The sequence below is a fragment of the Homo sapiens genome, chromosome 17 (assembly GCF_000001405.40).
Source record: "Homo sapiens chromosome 17, GRCh38.p14 Primary Assembly".
Lineage (NCBI taxonomy): Eukaryota > Metazoa > Chordata > Mammalia > Primates > Hominidae > Homo > Homo sapiens.
In genome coordinates this window covers 76265101-76284547 of record NC_000017.11, presented here as the reverse complement: position 1 = coordinate 76284547, position 19447 = coordinate 76265101, and the positions used below count along the sequence as shown (strand labels likewise).

At 59.5% G+C, this 19447-nt stretch overlaps 2 protein-coding genes across 11 annotated transcripts in view, besides 14 other annotated features; one reads left to right on the top strand and one right to left on the bottom strand.

The window, feature by feature from the left end:
- Positions 1-10499, top strand: part of QRICH2 (glutamine rich 2) — a 36916-nt gene extending 26417 nt beyond the window's left edge. For 5 of the 10 annotated variants that reach the window (XM_047436911.1, XM_017025207.3, NM_001388453.1 and 2 more), the window contains 12 exons: positions 2433-2684; positions 3595-3717; positions 3820-3894; positions 4097-4261; positions 4394-4515; positions 5120-5185; positions 5406-5507; positions 6359-6559; positions 7238-7385; positions 7781-7868; positions 8601-8729; positions 10288-10499. In XM_047436911.1, the coding sequence (XP_047292867.1) occupies positions 2433-2684; positions 3595-3717; positions 3820-3894; positions 4097-4261; positions 4394-4515; positions 5120-5185; positions 5406-5507; positions 6359-6559; positions 7238-7385; positions 7781-7868; positions 8601-8729; positions 10288-10469 (1653 nt within the window). In that variant the 3' untranslated portion in view covers positions 10470-10499. Of the gene's footprint in view, positions 1-2432; positions 2685-3594; positions 3718-3819; positions 3895-4096; positions 4262-4393; positions 4516-5119; positions 5186-5405; positions 5508-6358; positions 6560-7237; positions 7386-7780; positions 7869-8600 lie in introns of all 10 variants that reach the window. The other 5 variants (NR_130649.2, NM_032134.3, XM_047436914.1 and 2 more) reach the window with 2 other exon arrangements.
- Positions 6596-7440: an enhancer, noted in NCBI's record as "H3K4me1 hESC enhancer chr17:74273189-74274033 (GRCh37/hg19 assembly coordinates)". NCBI's record gives its function as "activates a minimal SCP1, AML or CMV promoter by ChIP-STARR-seq in naive H9 embryonic stem cells {active_cell/tissue: H9 hESC(naive)}" and the evidence as "EXISTENCE:reporter gene assay evidence [ECO:0000049][PMID:30033119]".
- Positions 10588-10727: an enhancer, noted in NCBI's record as "active region_12803". NCBI's record gives its function as "activates an Ori minimal core promoter by ATAC-STARR-seq in GM12878 lymphoblastoid cells {active_cell/tissue: GM12878}" and the evidence as "EXISTENCE:reporter gene assay evidence [ECO:0000049][PMID:35858748]".
- Positions 11238-11287: an enhancer, noted in NCBI's record as "active region_12802". NCBI's record gives its function as "activates an Ori minimal core promoter by ATAC-STARR-seq in GM12878 lymphoblastoid cells {active_cell/tissue: GM12878}" and the evidence as "EXISTENCE:reporter gene assay evidence [ECO:0000049][PMID:35858748]".
- Positions 11562-12085: an enhancer, noted in NCBI's record as "H3K4me1 hESC enhancer chr17:74268544-74269067 (GRCh37/hg19 assembly coordinates)". NCBI's record gives its function as "activates a minimal SCP1, AML or CMV promoter by ChIP-STARR-seq in naive H9 embryonic stem cells {active_cell/tissue: H9 hESC(naive)}" and the evidence as "EXISTENCE:reporter gene assay evidence [ECO:0000049][PMID:30033119]".
- Positions 11828-11967: a silencer, noted in NCBI's record as "silent region_9011". NCBI's record gives its function as "represses an Ori minimal core promoter by ATAC-STARR-seq in GM12878 lymphoblastoid cells {active_cell/tissue: GM12878}" and the evidence as "EXISTENCE:reporter gene assay evidence [ECO:0000049][PMID:35858748]".
- Positions 12086-12610: an enhancer, noted in NCBI's record as "H3K4me1 hESC enhancer chr17:74268019-74268543 (GRCh37/hg19 assembly coordinates)". NCBI's record gives its function as "activates a minimal SCP1, AML or CMV promoter by ChIP-STARR-seq in naive H9 embryonic stem cells {active_cell/tissue: H9 hESC(naive)}" and the evidence as "EXISTENCE:reporter gene assay evidence [ECO:0000049][PMID:30033119]".
- Positions 12208-12257: an enhancer, noted in NCBI's record as "active region_12801". NCBI's record gives its function as "activates an Ori minimal core promoter by ATAC-STARR-seq in GM12878 lymphoblastoid cells {active_cell/tissue: GM12878}" and the evidence as "EXISTENCE:reporter gene assay evidence [ECO:0000049][PMID:35858748]".
- Positions 12408-12507: a silencer, noted in NCBI's record as "silent region_9010". NCBI's record gives its function as "represses an Ori minimal core promoter by ATAC-STARR-seq in GM12878 lymphoblastoid cells {active_cell/tissue: GM12878}" and the evidence as "EXISTENCE:reporter gene assay evidence [ECO:0000049][PMID:35858748]".
- Positions 13198-13417: an enhancer, noted in NCBI's record as "active region_12800". NCBI's record gives its function as "activates an Ori minimal core promoter by ATAC-STARR-seq in GM12878 lymphoblastoid cells {active_cell/tissue: GM12878}" and the evidence as "EXISTENCE:reporter gene assay evidence [ECO:0000049][PMID:35858748]".
- UBALD2 (UBA like domain containing 2) lies at positions 13250-19200 on the bottom strand. Its single transcript, NM_182565.4, has 3 exons — positions 18923-19200; positions 18579-18641; positions 13250-14354 (listed from the first exon to the last, which is right to left on the bottom strand). The coding sequence occupies exons 1-3, from the start codon at positions 19040-19042 to the stop codon at positions 14043-14045; spliced, it is 495 nt and encodes a 164-aa protein (NP_872371.1). The 5' UTR covers positions 19043-19200; the 3' UTR covers positions 13250-14042.
- Positions 14298-14487: an enhancer, noted in NCBI's record as "active region_12799". NCBI's record gives its function as "activates an Ori minimal core promoter by ATAC-STARR-seq in GM12878 lymphoblastoid cells {active_cell/tissue: GM12878}" and the evidence as "EXISTENCE:reporter gene assay evidence [ECO:0000049][PMID:35858748]".
- Positions 16188-16417: an enhancer, noted in NCBI's record as "active region_12798". NCBI's record gives its function as "activates an Ori minimal core promoter by ATAC-STARR-seq in GM12878 lymphoblastoid cells {active_cell/tissue: GM12878}" and the evidence as "EXISTENCE:reporter gene assay evidence [ECO:0000049][PMID:35858748]".
- Positions 18388-18487: an enhancer, noted in NCBI's record as "active region_12797". NCBI's record gives its function as "activates an Ori minimal core promoter by ATAC-STARR-seq in GM12878 lymphoblastoid cells {active_cell/tissue: GM12878}" and the evidence as "EXISTENCE:reporter gene assay evidence [ECO:0000049][PMID:35858748]".
- Positions 18658-18797: a silencer, noted in NCBI's record as "silent region_9009". NCBI's record gives its function as "represses an Ori minimal core promoter by ATAC-STARR-seq in GM12878 lymphoblastoid cells {active_cell/tissue: GM12878}" and the evidence as "EXISTENCE:reporter gene assay evidence [ECO:0000049][PMID:35858748]".
- Positions 19098-19397: a silencer, noted in NCBI's record as "silent region_9008". NCBI's record gives its function as "represses an Ori minimal core promoter by ATAC-STARR-seq in GM12878 lymphoblastoid cells {active_cell/tissue: GM12878}" and the evidence as "EXISTENCE:reporter gene assay evidence [ECO:0000049][PMID:35858748]".

Here is a 19447-nt window from a genome sequence, read left to right as displayed (position 1 = left end):
CACGCCTGGCCTGTATACTTTCTTTAGAGATAAAATATACATATCCAAATCCTTCATCCATTTTTTCAGGTGAGTTATTTGTCATTTTATTGTTGAGTTGAAAGAGCTCTTTACATGTTCTGGATGCTACACTCTTATTTGATAGATGACTTGCAAATATTTTCTCCCATTCTGTGGGTCATCTTTTCATTTTCTTGACAGTGTCTGTCTTTAAGCCTTGCAATGCAATTCTTGGTCATTTTCTCACTAAGGATTGTCTGAATCAGGAGCAGCCCTCTGAGTGCTCACAGAAGAACCACCTAGGAAAAGCCACTGGGCCAAGCGGGTTCATGTCAGGAACCTCTTTGTGCATTTTTTTTTTTTTTTTTTTTTTTTTTTTGGAGACAGAGTTTTGCTCTGTTGCCCAGGCTGGAGTGCAGTGGCACCATCTCAGCTCACTGCATTCTCCACCTCCCGGGTTCAAGTGATTCTCCTATCTCAGACTCCTGGGTAGCTGGGACTACAGGTGCACACCGCCATGCCTGGGTAATTTTTTTGTATTTTTAGTAGATACAGGGTTTCACCACATTGGTCAGGCCGGTCTTGAACTCCTGACCTCAGGTCATTCACCTGCCTTGGCCTCCCAAAGTGCTAGGATTATAGGCATGAGCCACTGCACCCCGCTTTTTTTTTTGAGACAGAGTTTCGCTCTTGTTGCCCAGGCTGGAGTCCAATGGCATGATTTCAGCTCACTGCAACCTCCGTCTCCCAGGTTCAAGCAATTCTCCTGCCTCAGCCTCCCAAGTAGCTGAGACTACAGGCACCCACCAGCACACCTGGATAATTTTTGTATTTTTAGTAGAGATGGGGTTTCACCATGTTAGCCAGGCTGGTCTCAAACTCCTGACCTCAGGTGATCCACCCACCTTGGCCTCCCAAAGTGCTGGGATTACAGGCGTGAGCCACGTGCCTGGCCCGCTTTGTGCTTTGAGCCACATTCCAGGCTCCCAAGTTGCTGGAACTGTGGTGTGCCCCATGTCATGACCCCGGGCCAGGAGTCCTGCCTGAGGAGCAGCTGGGAGCGTTTAAGAGTCACCTGTCAGTCCAAGCTCATGTCTGGCTGTCCCAGGACCACACTCAGGAGACAATCCACTTCCTGTTGGGCTGGCCTAGCCTCCTTTTGCAGGCTTTTTTTGGAGGCCCCACTTCCACATGCCCCATCTTTAGCCACCTTGGCCTCCTGCCTTTCTCTGAACACACTCCTATTCTTTCCTGCTGTTCTTTACACAGATAGCTGCGGCTTAGTGTTAAGACTCCACTGAAATGCCCATTTTTCTAGGAGGCCTCTTCCTCTTTTCGAGAGAGAACTGGCCAGTCCTTCTGCATCCGGGGCCCTCGGAGGTACCTGCCTCCGGGCAGGCTCTTCTGGTTGTAAGTGGCAGCATCTCTGTGAGCCCAGGCAAGAGGATGCTGCCCTGGGGATGTGCAGCTGTAGGCCGTGGAGGAAAAGGGAACTTCCAGGCCATGGGGGCAGGCCAGGGTGGGCCACCCCACCTGTCCCTCTGCATCTGCTTTTGTGGGTACCTGTGTCCCTCTCCTTACCCATCCTCTCAGCCCCCACGTCACTCTCCCATTCCACTCTCAATCCACCTTGCTCTCCCTCGCGCTCTGCAGTGGCTGCCCCAGCCCTGCAGAGTCCTTTCTGTTCCATCACCCACTCCCCAGAGAGGAGCCCAGGTTGGCCCAGCCTCTCTTTTTGAGCCAAGCAACATGTCTCAGGTCTTTGGCCAGTTGAGGGACCGGCTGCCCTTGGATCAGCTGTCTACCTGGGAACTCTCATTTGGGGTGACGAATGGGGCCTGCGGGATGCAGAGGAGAACACCAGGGCAGCCTTCAAGGCACTTGCCCTGGAAGGGGTTTGCACCGCCCAGCCTTGGAGAGGCCCCTGGAGCAGTGTCAGCACCTGCCAAGTTCCTGTATCGTGAGTTATTTACATGCTAGGTGGATGGAGCATGTCCGTTCCCCATGGCATGTGAGCAGGAGCGTGTGCAAGCCCACCCCTCACAGCCCCAGAGCCTGGGGCGGGGCCTGTGTGTCATTACGGTCCTCTGTGTGTTTATGGCCCGGCTAACTGGCAGCAGCACTTTACGATTTAGCTAAAGAAGAGATGTTCTCATGCTGAGCTGGTGGGCTGGCTGGAGAAAGCTCCAGAGGCCTTCTTCTGGCAAGGGCTTGGTTCAGTGTTGACACTGTGTTCTCGGAGAACTCTCTCTACTCACCGTTTACTGGATAGATGCCCATGATGGCACATGCTCTGGGAGGCACTGAGGATGCAGCAACTGCCCAGGGCACGACAGGGGAGAGGCACACAGGCTAGGGGCAGTGCCAGCATGGGCAGAGCGTGGCCGTGACTGGCCTCACTGCCCTGCTGCTGCCGTCTCTCCTGCACGCAGTTGGACAAGCTCAGGATGATCATTGAGAGCATGCTGACCTCCTCCTCCACGCTCCTGTCCATGAGCATGGCCCCGCACAAGGCCCACACCTTGGCTCCTGGCCAGATCGACCCTGAGGCCACCTGTCCAGCCTGCAGCCTGGATGTGAGCCATCAGGTCAGCACGCTGGTGCGGCGCTATGAGCAACTCCAAGACATGGTCAACAGCCTGGCCGTCTCCCGACCCTCCAAGAAGGCCAAGCTCCAGAGACAGGTGGGGCTCTGCTCGCCTCCCTCCTGCTGCAACTGGACATGGCCCCACAGAGGAGGGCCACCCTGCTGCAGACCCACAGAAGTGGGGCGGGTGTTTGGGCCTCAAGGTCAGCTCTCCGTGGCGGAGCCCTTTAGCCAGATCCCACAAGAGTCCCTGGTCTTTCTGCAGGTCCACAGCGAGGGTAGCAGCAGAACTAGCTTTGGGGACAGGAGACCATGGGGAAGAGCTGGCTTGATGGGGTGGGACAGCACAGGCCGGCTGAGGACAGATCAGTGCCCTTCGCGTGCCCTGGAGACACAGGCCCAACTGTAGGAGATGTTGACTCCCTGGCACGCGAGTCTTCCAACCCCTTCTCAATTTCCCTAGAAAGGGCAGGCTTGCTGGTGGGGGCGGGCACAGCCACAAATCCTGGGTCCTGCCTCTTGGGCTGAGGAACTCAGATTTGGGCCAGGAGAGGAGGGGAGAATAAAGCCCACAGCCCAGCTCTCAAGTGCCCCGGGACAGCACATCACTCCTGAGCCTCCATCACCTCTAATGACCCCTGACCGGCAGGCCAGGGTCACAAGGCTAGTCCATGGGGATGTAGGTGACTGACGCTTGTGTCCTGTGGGGGTGGACACCCAGAAAGGGCAGACAGAGGGCCTCCCGCACTGTTAGTGGAAAATTGTTTTCCATTGTTTTTGAGACAGGGTCTCCCTATGTTGCCCAGGCTGTTCTTGAACTCCTGGGCTCAAGTGATCCTCTCGCCTCACCTCAGCTTCCCAAAGTGCCAGGACTACAGGCATGAGCCACCGCTCCCAGCCTTGCAGATGTTTTAAGGGCCAACTTACCTGGGGCAGCAATATTATGGCAGCAGGGGGTGGGATCGCGCCAGCAGCCTCCGAGAGCCTTCCCATCCCTCCTGCCGCAGGACGAGGAGCTGCTGGGCCGTGTGCAGAGTGCCATCCTGCAGGTGCAGGGTGACTGCGAGAAGCTCAACATCACCACCAGCAACCTCATCGAGGACCATCGGCAGAAACAGAAGGACATTGCTGTGAGCGGCCGCAGGGTGGCTGGGATGGGGCCGGGGCTCAATGTGGTGCCCTAGCCCCGCAGCTGCTGGCTCTTTTTTTCTCTGTTCACTTGGCCTCCCCAGATGCTGTACCAGGGTCTGGAGAAGCTCGAAAAGGAAAAGGCCAACAGGGAGCACCTGGAGATGGAGATCGATGTGGTGGGTGCCAGGCCCCAGGAGCCACGCTGTGTCCCAGGGCGGTCTCGCTGACTGTTCTTTGAGAGACTGAGTGGAGGGGAGCTGGCGAGACGAGTGTGGGCTCTCAGAAACCTGCCTGGTGATAGGGGTCGACACCCCCAGGGAATGGGGCCCCTCCATGGCCATCTCCCAGATGCGGGGACCTCTGTCTGTCTCTGGGCAGAAAGCCGACAAGAGTGCTCTGGCCACCAAAGTGAGCCGTGTCCAGTTTGATGCCACCACGGAGCAGCTGAACCACATGATGCAGGAGCTGGTGGCCAAGATGAGCGGGCAGGAGCAGGACTGGCAGAAGATGCTGGACAGGCTGCTCACAGAGATGGACAACAAGGTGAGGCAGGGGCATGGCGGGGCTCTCCATCCCACAGCCTTGCCCCCAGGATCGGGACAGCACCACCTTCTCCTGGGTCAGCCCCCTACCTGCTTCCTTAGAGGTCCCCTGGCCCCTCTTTCCCCGCCACAGCTGGACCGCCTGGAGCTGGACCCAGTGAAGCAGTTGCTGGAGGATCGGTGGAAATCGCTGCGACAGCAGCTCAGGGAGCGCCCCCCACTCTACCAGGCAGACGAGGCGGCTGCCATGCGGAGGTGAGGCCTGGGAGGCAGGGGAGGAGGCTGGCACGCTCTTCAGGGGGTGAGGGCAGAGGGGGCTGGGGGTCTCCAGACAAACAGCTCCTGCCAGCACACAGCGGATCCTGCCCAGGACTGTCCCATGGTTGGAGGGACAGAATTTTAGAGCTTGAAACGCTCTTCTAGCTCAGGCCCCTTCGTATTACAGCAGAGAAAGGGAGGAGGGGAGGCTTAAGGCTCTCAGGGTTTGGCTGAGCTAAGCTGGGCCTTTGGGACAGGGAGAGGTCCTCAGTACCCAGAGCTGAGACAGCTCCTGGGGGCCTGGCCCATAGGACCTGGCCCGTGGTAGGCTTGAATTCCAGGATTCCCATTCGTGGCCGCCAGGGGGCGCCCGAGACTTGCACAGGGCACCCTCAGGGGCCCATGGGAAGCCTGCTGGCTTTGGGTTAGGACAGGGAGGTCTGGGATGTGAGCCCAGAGGTGGGAGCAGATGGATTCCTGGGGAGCAGGGACATGATCTGCACCCTGGTGGGCTGAGCTTCCAGGGGCCTGCAGAGCCCCAAGCCCTTCTGGGTCTTCCGGGCAGAGCACTCACCCTGCGTGTGCGTCCCATTCCTAACAGGCAGCTCCTGGCACATTTCCACTGCCTCTCATGTGACCGGCCCTTGGAGACACCTGTGACTGGACAGTGAGTGCCCACACCGCCGGCACGTGGCCTCGCATGGCAGGGCTGCGTCTCCTCCCTTCACCTGTGTCCACCTGTCCTCTCCCTTTCTTTCATGTGTCTGCTTCCAGCCCTCGCTCCCTTCCAGGCCGGGGGCGGGTGGGAAGGTTCTTTAGGCAGGTGGATTTGGGGGACCGGACTTGTCCCACTCTGACCCGCCCCTTCTCCCTCTGTCCCTGCCCAGTGCCATCCCCGTGACCCCCGCGGGTCCAGGCCTACCTGGGCACCATTCCATCCGCCCCTACACGGTGTTTGAACTGGAGCAGGTCCGGCAGCATAGCCGCAAGTATGCTATGGGACAGCATATGGGACATATGGGTCCGGGGCCAGGGCTCTGGATGGGGAAGGCAGGGGACAGGGATGACTCCGGAGGGCCCAGCGGAACGTGACAGAAGGCAGTGCTGTGGGACAGTGTGGAGAGCCTCCTCCTTGGAATGGGACAGTGGGGGCCGCAGGCCGATTTCTGAACTAGCTCCCTGGCAGTTCCCAAGGCATGAGCGTAGGAGGCAGACCTAGTCACACCTGCTTTTGGGAGTTACGGTGGGACTTCGTCAAGGGCGCCAGCTGCCTCTGAGAGCTCCTCTACTTCTCAACCTCTTCCTCAGCCTTCGGCTGTCTCAGCAACCCCGGGATTAGAGCGGTGGGGGGAGGGTCCGGTATAGCTCAGCCAGAGGGTGGGCTCAGCCAACGAAGGAGGCTGGCGGTGGGCATCTCATGCTCCCTCCGGCTCCTGCCCACCTCTCTGCTGCTCCCCTTCTCCTAAGGATGGGAGTCCATAGTTCAGAGGACTTCAGGCTGCTCTTGGAGCCCTGTGGGTTCCAGGTATGCTAGGCCAGGTGCGCCGAGATGGGAAGGCCCGGGGCTGCCCTCAGCTCCTCCACCCACAGCTGCAGACAGGCAGCAGGGCTTTCTTCCATTTGGCTGGCCTGCACTTCCCCATCTGAGGAAAGCCTTCCCGGCAAGTCTGGCCCTCAGATGCTGTGGAAAGGACTACTGCTGAGGGGTCAAGCTGCCCAGCGACCCCCAGCCTAGCTGGGTCCTGCACAAAAGGGACCCGGAACTGAAGGATTCGGCTTACACAAGGTCAAGGCCCCCGCCATGGGCCAACCCTCCCTCTGTTCTGCTCACACCCTGCAGCCTCAAGCTGGGCAGCGCCTTCCCTCGGGGTGACCTGGCGCAGATGGAGCAGAGCGTGGGGCGCCTGCGCTCCATGCACTCCAAGATGCTGATGAACATTGAGAAGGTGCAGATCCACTTCGGGGGCTCCACCAAGGCCAGCAGCCAGATAATCCGCGAGCTGCTGCACGCCCAGTGCCTGGGCTCCCCCTGCTACAAACGGTACAGGAGAGGCGGGCGAGGCCATGGGAGCAGGCACCCAGTGACCAGGCTTGGCTTCTGCTCGTGCACGGCTGTGCAAATGCCTTGCCCCACTGCTGGGGGAGAAAAGGGAGTGTGTGTGTGTGAGAGAAAGTGTGGGCGAGGGGTGTTAGTGTGTGTGATGTGTGTAAGCCATGTGTCTATGGGTGTGTCAATGTATGAGTGTGTGTAAGGGTGTGTGTGTATGAGTGCGTGTGTGTATGAGTGTGGGAGTGAGTGCGTGAGTGTGGGTGTTTGAGTATGTGTGTGCATGTATGAGTACGTGTGTATGAGTACGTGTGTGTGTGTGCATGTGTATGAGTATGTATGTATATGTTCGTGTGTATGTGCATCTTCGTGTGTATGTGCATAAGTATGTGTGTGTGCATGTATGTGTGTGTGTGACTGTGTGTATGAGTACATGTGTGAGTGTGTGGGTGTGTGTGTGCACGCCTGCCCATGTGCACAGTCACTGGGGTGGCCCGGCCTCACGGCTGCTCTACCCCCGCCCGCCTGTTCTGGGCCCCTGCTGCTCAGCCTCCCGGCAGCCCCCGAAGAGAAGCTGTGCCCCTTCCCTCTGGTCAGCCCCATGGGTGGGTGAGTCCCAGGTGACATCCCTGGTGGTCTGCTCCCAATGACTCCATCCTGTCTTCATCACAGGGTGACAGATATGGCTGATTACACCTACTCAACTGTGCCCCGGCGCTGCGGGGGCAGCCACACCCTCACCTACCCCTACCACCGCAGCCGCCCGCAGCACCTTCCCCGGGGCCTGTATCCTACTGAAGAGATCCAGATTGCCATGAAGGTCAGGGCCCTGCCTGGAGCCACCAGGGAGGGAGGCCCTGACATGGCTCCAGATTCCTGAGTCATTCTCTAAAGCCACCAGAAAATCAGCCAGCCCTCTGCCTTGAGGCAATTCCTTAATCAGACCCAGTCAAAGCCTCAGGTTCTTACCCTTTTCTGGGAAGAAAGATTCACCCCGGCCACCTGCCTGCCCAGCAGCATTCCGGCCTCCCAGGCCTCCCACCGTGGCCCAGATACTGTTTCACCTCCCTCCACCTTCTCGCTCCACCCTAGTGCCTCCCAGAGCCCCCCAGGAGGGTTCTGAGACCACAGTGCTCTGTGCCTCAGTCCCGTGTGAAGGGGCCAGGGGAGGGCTGTGGCTGCTACAGTGGCGACGGTATCTGTTCACTTCTACAGCATGATGAGGTGGACATCTTGGGCCTGGATGGCCACATTTACAAGGGACGGATGGACACAAGGCTGCCAGGCATCCTCCGAAAAGACAGTGAGTGGAGTCCAGAGGCCCCCAGGCACCTCACGTGGGTCCCACAGGGCGTGCATCCATTGTGGGGCCTGGCACTTTTATGGGCCACTAGACCCTGGGTGTCTTCCTTCTCCATTCCCCTCACTCCAAATGTGCAGGTCTCTCGAAAAGCCACCAAGTAAATGTTCACAGGTGGAGGACAGCTGTCCAGCCTCAGCCATCAGCTGGGATGGGGTGGCCCCGTGTTTTCTTGCCAGCCTCCATCCCGGCTGCACTGCTGGGCTCTCCTGTCTTGGCCTCTGTCCATGGCATCATCAGGGCCTCCTCCTCCTTCAAAACTCAGCACAGTGCCCTCTGCTGAGCCCCACCGCTTCAGCCCCCGAATGCCCGCCTCCCGTGGCAATGCCCGAAGCCTGCGCTTTGTCACTTCCCATCATGCATTTAGCTGTGTATGCGCCTTTCTAGATGCCTCCCTTCCTGCCCTGGAAACCCCAGGTCAGAACTCACCCCACACCTGGCACAGGGCTGACGTGTGCAGGTCCTCAGGGACTCTGTGTGAGTGGGTGGGTGGCCACGAGAATGAATGAAGACCGCTTCTCTGGGGCATAGCCACAAATTCAGAATGACGAGGACCCCACTCAGCTGAGGCCGGCCATGACCAGCAGCCCTGCGGCCCTCTCCCCACCCCCAGGGGTTCCCACAGAGCTCTCACCGCTGCCTCAGCACTGACCCTTCCCTCCTGTCCCCCATCAGGCTCAGGGACCTCAAAGCGCAAGTCCCAGCAGCCCAGGCCCCACGTGCACAGGCCGCCATCCCTCAGCAGCAATGGCCAGCTGCCCTCTCGGCCACAGAGCGCCCAGATTTCGGCTGGCAACACCTCAGGTAGCTTCCCTCTGGGTGGGGCGTCCTGCCAGGCCTCCCCGCTGGCCCTGCCGGCCCCCTTTCCTGCTCATGTAGGGCCTTTATCTCCCCGGAGAGGGGAGGGCCTGGGAGCCGAAGGGGGGGATGGGTGTGGAAAAGAGGAACCCCGAGTGACTGAGTGATTTGTGCCCCTTCTGGGAGGTGGGTAGGTGCTGTTACTGTCCCATTCCACAGAAGATGAAATAGGGACAGGGTCACCACCCACATCTCTGGCTCCAGGTCCATGCCCTTGCCCTGCTCACGTGCACTCACTGTCATGGAGCTCGTGCGCCTGGGCTCTGCATGGTGGCTGCTGGGCACAGGCCATGCCCGGGTCCCCAAGAGGCCACGACCCTGTCATGGAGGAACCTCTCTCTGCCTCCCGCCTGGAAGATCCCTTGGGTCCTTGATCTCCGCAGGAGCTAAGTTGGGCCTGAAGGTCAGGAGGGTTTGGTAACAAGGCCCTGCAGCCAGGAGGCTGGATCACTGACAAGTGACCCTGGGCAAGGTCACTCTTGACAAGGGCTCTCCCCTCTCCAGACCTCAGTTTCCTCGTCTGTCATCAAGGGGGTGCTGGGTTAGTGCTGCTTGGAGTCAGGCCCCCCCCAAGAATCTAATAAAAGCTGCCGACCTTCCTCCTGTAAAACAGTTATGCACCCACATTCCTTGTGAATGTCTGTGGGAGGTTCAGGGACCCTCCCCAACCAGAGCCTCCACCCTCCCCTGCCCCTCGGCTAGATGCTCTCCAGCATCACTCCAGCCCTCAGTGAGGACCCGGCGCTGAGGGAGGAGGAAATCACAACAGAAAAGTGGCTGCGGTGCTCATGGCTCCTCAGCATCATCCAGGGCCCCCCACAGACCAGGTAGTTTAGGAGCTTTACATGGACGAACCACTTTCAATCTATGTACCAGCACTTAGAGGTAGGGGCCGTTAGCACCACTTACAGCTGAGAAAACTGAGGCACAGAGAGGTGAAGGTCCTTGCTCTAGGTCACACAGCCAGGAAGCGGCAGAGCTGGAGTTCAAAGCCAAGCCCTCTGGCCCAGAGGCTGTGCTGGGAACGGCAGGTCTCAGTGGTGGACAGTGAGCACATGACTGTCACCCTGGCTCCCAGAACTCTGTTTTCTTGGGAATACTTAGCTCCCTTCTCCCAGTGTCTACTCTAAGGGCACTGAAAATGCCCTGGAAGCAGGAGAGAGGGACTGGTAGTCTCAGGAAAATTCCTGTGCCTGTTGGTGTGGATGTCACCTCGTGTCTGTATTAACAGGAAACAGTACCAAAGAGGCAGCTCTTGGCTCCTGCAGAAGGACGTGTTTGCTTATTTTTCATTCACAAGATCATGAAGGGTGCTTCATGACTGCTTAGGAGCTCAGATGGGCCTGCGCCGTGCCCCCCGGCCCCGGCAGCTCCCCTCCAGCCTGTGTCAGCCCAGCATGGCGAACAGAACTGCTCTCAACCTCCCTGGGCATTGGGCAGGCTGGGGTGACCCCTGGTGGGCTTGGGGAATGTGTTGAGCAACCTCAGCACCCCTGTCTTACAGTTTCTTCTCGTCAACAGAAAGATAGACCTTCCTCCGAGGGCCGTCTCTCCCAGCCGAACACAGCCCACCCGCCCAGCTCCGCCGCGGTGGCAAACAGGGGGCTGGAGAGGCACGTGGACATGCCTCCTGGGGAGGGGCTCGAGGAGCCCACGCGGGGGCCGCGGTCCAGCACCGCTCAGTGAGCGGAGGTGTAAATAAACATTCAGGAGGAAGCTTAGGTGTGGCGAATCGTCTCTGACAGTCCTGGCTCAGGAAGATGGAGGGAAAGGGAAATACCCGCTGTTGGCCAGGCAGCCCCCCACGTGCCTCCAGACCACCCCCAGGCCCGCCCACTCGGTAGACCTTCTCTTGGACAGTGGGTCTGGTTTGTAGCCTGAAAGTGAGTCCTCAGCTTCCATTCTTCAAGGGCGCCGGGGCTTCGGAGGGCTGGACACTGCACTGGGGACAGGGAGACTCCTGGCCCCGGGACCAGCTGGGCCGGTGCTCACCCCACCAGCTCTCTCCTGGCCTCAGCTAGATTGGGGGTGCCCTGCCTTCTGGCTCTAGACCTGCCTTCTAGCCTGGGGTGCTGGGGCCCGTGCTGTCAGTGTCCAGCACTCTGGGGGTGAGGGTGGCAGCTGCCTGCTGCGCTCTTGCTGCTGGCTCAGGGTGGTTCCTGACCCCTGGCGTGGGATTCCGGGGAAGCAGTGCCAATGGCTGGAGGCGAACCCCTGCAGCCGGCTGGGCAGGTTTCTGTTTGCCGCCCTCCGCTTCTCTCCCTTGAGTGGGCTGCTGCAGAGACAGCCGGGGCCTGAAGGCACAGAGCAGGGGCTGCTGTGGCTGTGACCCAGTTTCCCCATTCCCCTCCTAGAAAAAGACATCCAGGCGGCGGGTGGAGAGGTGGTGCGAGCCTGGCGCTTGTCGCTTGTGATTTGCTTCCCTCTGCCCTAGCCCCAACACCTGCAGGCAAGGGACTCACTAAAGGTCTTGGCAGGTGAGGGGACAGAGGACTGCAAGTGAGACTGAGCTTGGGCCAGTGCAGCAACTGCTAGAGACGAGCCCCTATCACTGCTGCAACCCACTTGAAGCTCCTGAGACCAAGGAGTCCCCTGACCTCCTGAGCTTGGGCTCCAGCCAGATTCTAGGGGTCCCCCAGTAGATGAGAGTGGCCCCCCCACCCTGAGGTTTATAAAGCCCTGAGGTCACCAAAGCCTTTCTGCCTCAGAGGCTCCCTCCTCAGAGAAAAGGAAGTGCTCAGAGTTGACAAAGGGGCTCCCCCCACCCCCAGTTCCCATCTCCCCAGCATGGGAAAGGGATGTCTAGAGTAAGAGGCCCGCTTTGGGGTGTGAGGAGACAAAATCACACAGGAAAGGAAAATGTGGCGAGAAACAGCCCAGAAACAGGTTTCTGGCCCCTGACCCCCGCGTGGGCAAAGCGGGGCAGGCTTGGCTGGGTCGGGTGGCCGCTCCCTCCTGGCCTGCTCTTCAGAGACCCTGGGAGTCTTCATGTGATGATGTCATGCTCAGAGCTGGACAGAAGAGAGGAGCTGCTCAGACAGCGGAGCCCCGGGCGGGCACCCCTGGGCCCCAGCCCCTTTCTCCCCGGGCAGGAGGCAGAGGCAGGGCCACCCCTCCCAGGCTCCAGCTGGGCTCCTGTTGCTCTCGGCCCCACCCTGGCTGTGAAATGTCAGAAGGTGGCTCAGTTTCCCGGGTCTAGAAGCCAAATTCACCAGCTTGGCAGGGAGGTGCAGCCCAGCCCTCCTCACCCAGGCCTTCCCCACGCCCACAGAAGGTCCCAGAGCGACATTCCCTAAGCCGGCCAGGGCAACCCCCGACCATTCCCGCACCTGGGCATGGCCCACACCTGGGTGGACCCCGGTGCAGGCCCAGGAGGCCTGGGGACGTCACAGCCTAACCACCCACGTGCTGAGAGGGGCTGCCCCTTCCAGCCTGGGAAAGCACAGGTGGGCAGGGGCGGGGGGAGGGGGAGGAGTCTCAGGGGTTTCCAACCAGGAAACAAAACTGAAAGGACGAACCCAGCTTCCAAGCACGTCCGTGTCACACGCAGGGGTGGAGGGGCAGCGGGGCCCACCGTTCCGCTCCACTGGAGGAGGGGCTGCCCCACCGTGTGAGGGGCCCGAGGAGGCCCGGAGGCAGGATGCGGTGGGTGCCGGGCCCGGCCCCTCTCGACTTTTATTTCACTTCCGGCCTGAACCTCCAGAACCCTTGTCCTGCCTGTGTTCCAGCAAGACTTGGGCCCCGTAGACCCCAGCAGAGGGCGAGGCAGGAGGACGGGACAGGAAGGGGCTGCCCAGACTGTATGGCGGTGAAGGGCAGGGCTGGAGGAGGAATCCCAGCCACGCGGCCATCACCCCCATCAGCCAGGTGGACAGGCTCCCCACGCAGCTGACCTCCCGAGCAGCAGGACCACCTGAGGACGAGCTGCTGGGTCAGGAACTGGTAACCTCGCCCCATGCTGACGCCTGCAGGGCTGCGGGGAAGGGGGAATGGAAGCAGGCCCCTCTGGGGACCCGCCAGCCTTAATTGAACTTTGGGTCATGGCCACTCCACAGGCCATGACCCAAAGGGACATACTGCCCCCGGGAAGCTGAGGAGAGGAGTATCGGAGATGAGCCCAGCTGGAAGATGCTTCCTGGGAGGGCCTGGGGGGGCCATCAGGAGGCCCCCAGCTAGAAGGAAGCTCTCCCCACTGTAGATGAAAATGGCTTCCAGCTCTTCTCACTAGGGCTCTGTGGGTGGGGGCTACACCGATGGGGCCAAGAAGGGAAGGTCACAGAAACTCAGGACGGACCCCGGCCCCTCTCTCCTCCCCACACCAACCTGGACCTTGCTGTCAGAGCCCCTGGTGTGACCATCCCACAGCAAAAACATCCAGACCAGCCCAGTGGCAAGGGACCCCCACCACCCCTCTTCTGAGGAGACCGCTTTTCCCACCAACGGAAATAAAAGCACCGCAAACCAGGGAAGTTAGAAAAGTCTCTTTTTAAGTTTTTAAATTAAAATTTCGCCCTGGTGAGATGGGATTCTGATTCGGGAACTAAACCCAAAGGCAGGCTCTCCACTTTGGACCTGGACACGCAGCGGGAGGGGCAGGGCGCCCAGGGCAGTCAAGTCCCCTGCTGGGCAGAGCCTGGCCTTTGACCAAAGTCAGCTCCTCAGTGCCACATCAGCCCTGCACATTCAGCAGGAGACAGGGGTGATGAGCTATGGGGCCACAACCAGCAATCAGAGGTGGGGAAGAGGCCATGGGGAGAGAGCCCTGATACCAAGAGGGCCTTCCACAGCTTTGACCTCAGGCCCTCCTGGGACCTGCAGCTGCTATGTGGCTGCCCAGTGACTGCAGGAGTGGTGTCCTCTTCCAGATTCCAGAAGGCATGGCTGTTAAAGGAGGCAGCTGACAGATGCCTTGTGCCCACAACATCACTCCATCAGCTCTGCAGCATGGCAGCCCTACCCCCGAGCACCCCAGGTGTGCCAGGCCCATTCTCACGCACATTAGTTATATTTATCTATTCATATATATTATAGTTATATATTAAAAACAGAGGAAAAACTTGCCTGAAAAACTCCTGAAGGACCCACGTGGCCCAGGAAGTTTACTGTCCCCCCGACCCACAAAAATTCTTTTATAAAATCTTCCAGTGCGATCTTCGGGAAACCCCCTGCCCTCCCCGGCTCCCCCCTCCCTGGCCCTCCTGTGTCCCCACAACCCTGGGCTGCCCCCAGCTCCAGCCCAGCGCCCGGCGGCGTCCAGTCTCATCTCTGGCCGTCCATGGCCGCCATGGCTTTCTGCTGGGCGCCCCCCTGCTGTGCTCCTGGGGGCCACGTGGGCTGTGGGCGGTGGAGGTGGTGGAAGGTGGTGGGGGAGGAGGGCGGGATCCAGGGCGCCTGGTGGCTGGGCGGGGACGAGGCCCAGAAGGGGCTGAAGTTTGCAGGTGGGGAGCAGGCTGCGGCTGTCATGGGGCTGTTGCTGCTCTGCAGGCCCTCGGAGGCGCGGAGCTTGGAGAACATGGCCAGCGCATCGGGGAAGTTGGGCGGCGTGGCAGGGGTGTTGCTGGGAGTGCACATCTGCGGGAGAGAACACGGGTGTGGGGAGGCTGCCTCGGGGGTCCCCGAGCCACTGGATGGGGCTTACCCAGGCCAGCCGCTCCTTTACTCCCATTTTTCAGCTTCATTCATTTTCGCACAAGCAGCTTCCACAGGACAAAAGTGCCCTCTCCCCGAGGCAATACAAACAGAAAACAAGGACAAAACCCAAGAACCTTATCAAAACCAACGGGGTTTCATGAGGCCTGGAAATGACACCCCGAGGAGCATTCAAAGTAAATGGTTAATTGCACCCAGGAGCTAAGGTGTCAGATTAAAGTGAAAGGGCAAGGGGGCAGCCCAGGACACCACTGTTCCGCACCTTCCCTGGGCAGGGAGACCAGCTGACTGCCCCACCAGCCACCCTCAGATGCTCCCAGGCTGCTAGGCAAGGGAGAGCGGCCAGCGGGGAGGCTCTCCCTCCTGTGCCAACCCTGGAAAAGTTAAGCCACCTTGGTGGATGGGTTCACACCACACTAAGGGTGACAGCCACCAGGCCTTGAAGGCTTTGCCTCCCTTAACAATGACACTTAGTGGCTTCAATTATCCTCTCTTTATGACAAATGAGGAAACTGAGGCCCAGAAGTCAAGTCACTTGCCCGAAAATGCACCCACAGCAGAGGGCAAGTTGAGAAGACGGACCTCCCCAGCTCCCAAGTCTGCAGGCCCAAGCTCTTAACATCTACTGGGCCACGCTGCACAGAGTCAAGAGCCCCTTTATATCTGGGCCCCTTGAGGACACAAACCAGGGATTTCAATGTCCTGTGTCTGTAGCCTCAGGCCACAAACACAGCTGGCCTGCCCTTGCCTGCAGGCTGGCAGTTTCTCAGTCTGTCCAGCCCCTCAGTCCTCTTCCTGGGGGTAGCTACAGTCCCCCATCTGCTGTCTTCTGTCACTACCCTGGGGGCAGGGGCTGGAGTGCCATCCAGGAGCACCTCGTCAGCAGCATGGGCAAGAGGCAACACAGAGAACAAGACCACACAAAACTGGCTGGGACCTCAAAGCTGCTTTCTCCCTTTCCCAGGAAGCCACAGGAGTCCTTCTTTGAATTTCTCCTAATTTTAGCAACACTGGCCCCTCCCCCAGGCGCAGGAGTTGGGGGAACGACTTGAGGGCTCTTCACCTTGAAAGAGGGAGCTTTGGCAGGGCGCAGTGGCTCACGTCTGTAATCCCAGCACTTTGGGAGGCCGAGGCGGGTGGATCACCTGAGGTTAGGAGTTCGAGACCAGCCTGACCAACATGGTGAAACCCTGTCTCTATTAAAAAATACAAAAATTAGCTGGGTGTGGTGATGGGCGTCTATAATCCCAGCTACTTGGGAGGTTGAGGCCGGAGAATCACTTGAACCCGGGAGGTGGAGGTTGTAGTGAGCTGAGATCACGTCACTGCACTCCAGCCTAGGTGGCAGAGCAAAACTCCGTCTCAAAAAAAAAAAAAAAAAAAACAGAGGGAGCTTTCACAGCTAGAAACCGGAGGTTGTGTAGGGGGTGTGTAACATACATGGAATGGGGACACTAGCACACCCTGTCCATTGAGCCCCACACCATGTCAGCACCCAGGGCACCAAGGGAGCTCTGACCCTTGCCTTTCTAGGGGTCCTCAGGGGGAGGCCAAAGGACCCAATGCAGAGGCCTGGCCCCACCCAGACCTTTCCCCTCCTCCCTCCACTACTCCCTGCCCCCCCCCCACCCTCTGGGGATGACTTCTCGGCAGCAGGAAACAATGAATGAAGGGTGGGGGTGGAGGCCAATTGCATCACAGCATCGTGACCGACTTCCCCAGTTCCCCGCCAGCCAGCGAGGCCTGTCTCCTCAAACAGCCGCCAGAGAACAGCAGGGATGATGGCTGGCAGGCCTGTGGTGGCCTGCCTGTGTAAGCTTGGGCAAGTTCCTGAACCTCTCTGGAGCTTCTCTCTGCTTTTGTAAAATGAGGGTTTTGAACCAGATATGCCCTCTCGGCCAGTTCTCAAGAAAACCCATTGTCCCCTGTACCTTTGTCCTCCCACTTCAAGTCTGTAGTGCCTTTCTCCACTTCCAACTGGGAAGCCCTCCTTATCAACTGGGAAGCTTCCAACTATGGGAATCTACAGTAATGTACGGGACAACCATTTATCAGTTACTCATGACTTCTGGTTTTGCCATTTTGCTGTTACTGGTCTCTAGTGTTTCGTTTTTTGATCTTTTTCCTTTGACTTACTTTGTCCAAAATAAATTGCCAGGCCGGGTGCAGTGGCTCACGCCTGTAATCCCTGAACTTTGGGAGGCCGAGGCAGGCGGACCACCTGAGGTTGGGAGTTCGAGACCAGCCTGATCAACATGGAGAAACCCCGTCTCTACTAAAAATACAAAATTAGCCAGGTGTGGGATTACAGGTGGCACGTGCCTGTAATCCCATGAGGCAGGAGAATCGTTTGAACCCAGGAGGTGAAGGTTGCGGTGAGCCGAGATCACACCATTGCACTCCGCCTAGGCAATAAGAGTGAAACTCTGTCTCAAAAAAAAAAAAAAAGAAAAGAAATTGCCAGCTGGGTGCAGTGGCTCACACCTATAATCCCAGCACTTCGGGAGGCTGAGGCGGAAGGATAGCTTGAGGCCAGGAGTTCAAGACCAGCTTGGGCCACATAGAGACTCCCCCTGCCCTGGCCTTTCTCAAAAATAAAATTAGAAAAAAAAAAAAAAAAAAAAAGAAACCATGAACTTTTTGAGAGCAGGGATGGTGTCCTCCACTGTGCTGCTAAGGCACTCAGACTTGGGCACTGATGGACACACTGGTTATGTGTGTTACAAAACCTGCTGCCTTCCTTGAGGGAAGCTTCAAAAGAGACTTAGCATCTCCTTGGGATTTGCAGAGGAGGGGCAATAGGAACTAAACAGGATGCCAGACCAGCTCTTCCTGGGGAGCCTCCCTGTTCTCAGCCCCTCAGAATGGCTGTAGTATCTGGAAGTTCTGAGTTTTTTGGGATGGCCACAGCTGGTGGAAGGAAATCTCAAGGATCCGGTGACAGGAGATGGCAGGAAGCTTCGAGACTCAAGCATAGGCGGGTGCTGGCCATTTCTCCTGGTCAAGTGCAGGGGACGGTGTCCCCTGGAGATGAAACCCTCTTGGGTTTCTAAGAGCCCTGTGGCCAGCACCATGCTCCCATCATACTCAAATGCCATTTTGGCTTGATTTATATACAGCATCAGCCATTCTGAGAAAAACTAGCTAACAAGGTCAAGACAGACCCCTCTACTTGTCCTCTGTGACTAGATGAAAACAGAGAGCCAAAGGCAAGGGCACCAAGTGTTAAAAATCCCAAAAATGCACCTAGAGTCCACAACAGCTCTCCTGGGGAACAATGTTTTAAGATCCCTATCGCTGAGCCCTGCCCCTCCTCCCCCAGCAGGGCTAATAGGTAACTAGGGGGGTAGGGTACAGGAGAGATGTCCTGGGCCTCAAGAAAGCAGAGTACCCCATGGCCAGGAGGGCAAAAGCTTGGGCCTGGGCTAGAATGAAAAAGAAAGCAAATCCAGACCCCGGACCACTTCTCTGTGTGCTGGGCTGGTGGAGCTCAACACAGAGATTAAAGACACATTCCTGGCCTTATCTTGGGTCAAAATCTGTGTGTCCTCCTGGCTTGGGGGATGTATGTCCTTCCAACTTCCCAGTCCCCTTGGGCTTCGGAAGGTTGAACAGATCTTTGTGGGTAGAGCCCGGCTTCCTGAGCCAGGGTGGATTCATGCCTTTCCTGTTCCCTGTAGCGCTGGGTGTGTGTGTGTGTGGAGGGGGAGGGGGGAAACCACTCAACAGCACGAGGGGGTCCCCATAAACACAAGCACCCCCATCGCCCTCCCTGGGCCCTTCGCGCGGGCTTCCCAGTGCCCCAGACGTCCGGGCATCACCCTCTCCCCCTCCCCATCCCCTGGCTCTGGGGTCCCCCAGCTCCTGAGCCCCTCGCCAGGCCCCCGGCCCTCTCCCCCTCCCCCCAACTTTGGCGCCGCTTCCCCCCAGGGACCAGTGCCGGGCACCAGTCCCGAGGCCAAGCAGCAGCAGCCCGGGAGGCGGGCCTCAAAGTTGGAGGCGCCAGCGCCGGCCCGGGAGCCGCTCTTTCCTGGAAGACATTTTGGCTCTTTGTTTACATTCGCGGCGCGGCGCTCCCCGGCAACATGGCTGTCACCGCCGCGCTGACAGCGGCCCCGGCCCGCGCCCCTGCCCGCCGCCGCTTACCATCTGGTGGTGGTGGTGGCTGTTGGGAATGTTGGTTTCTTGGAAGAACGTGCTCAGCGCGGTCTGCGGACAAACAGGGCAGTGACACGGCGGGCCAGGCGGAGTCAGGAAACGCAGCGGCTGGGCCCCCCACCGGCTCTCCCCGCCTCCGCGCCCGGCCCGCGGCCCCCGACCCTCGGCTGCCCCACGTGCAGAGGGGAGCCGGTCCCGGCCCCGGTCCCGCGTAAGACCCGCTCGCGGGCGCCGATCGCCTTCCGGGCCGACAACAGGAGCGCTCCCCGCCCCCGCCGCCGCCCGGCGTCCCCGACCCCCGCGGCCCGGCCCCGCGGCGGCCAGGCTCGCACCTCGAACTGCCAGTGGGCCGCCTGCAGCAACTGCTTCGCCTGGTCGGCCGCGCAGCCCGCGGCCAGCACGAACTGGTTGATCATGACCTGGTGCCGCAGCTCGTCCATGTTCACCGACATGGCGCGGCGCGGCGCGGGGCCCGGCGTCTCCGGCCGGACGCAGACGCGGGGCTGCGCGGGCGCGGGAGGCCGGCCGCCCGGGGCTCCGGGGCTCGCGCTCACCGCTGCTGCCGCCGCTCCGCCGCCCGCTCCGCCGCCGCCCGCCCGGCGAATGTTGTGGTTCGACTCCCGCGGCCCGGCCGACACCACAAACAACAGCGCGGGGCGGGGCTGGGCCGGCCCAACGTTCGGGGACTGCCGCTGATTGGCCGGGGCGCCGCTCCGCCAGCGCCCGGCTCCCGTAAGGACGTTCGATTCGAATCCTGCGGCCTGTGGGGCCCTCACTGTTTCTCTTTTCGCCCGGCCGCGCCCATTGGCGGAGCTCGGCGCCGTGGGGCTCCCCAGCATTGGCCGGCCGCTGTGTTT

Coding starts and splice junctions, on each gene's coding strand:
- UBALD2 (NM_182565.4), bottom strand. CDS start 19,042: ATGTCGGTGAACATGGACGAGCTGCGGCACCAGGTCATGATCAACCAG. Junction 18,642..18,922: donor CGGCCCACTGGCAGTTCGAG/GTGCGAGCCTGG, acceptor GTTTGTCCGCAG/ACCGCGCTGAGCACGTTCTT. Junction 14,355..18,578: donor GCCACCACCACCACCAGATG/GTAAGCGGCGGC, acceptor TCTCTCCCGCAG/ATGTGCACTCCCAGCAACAC.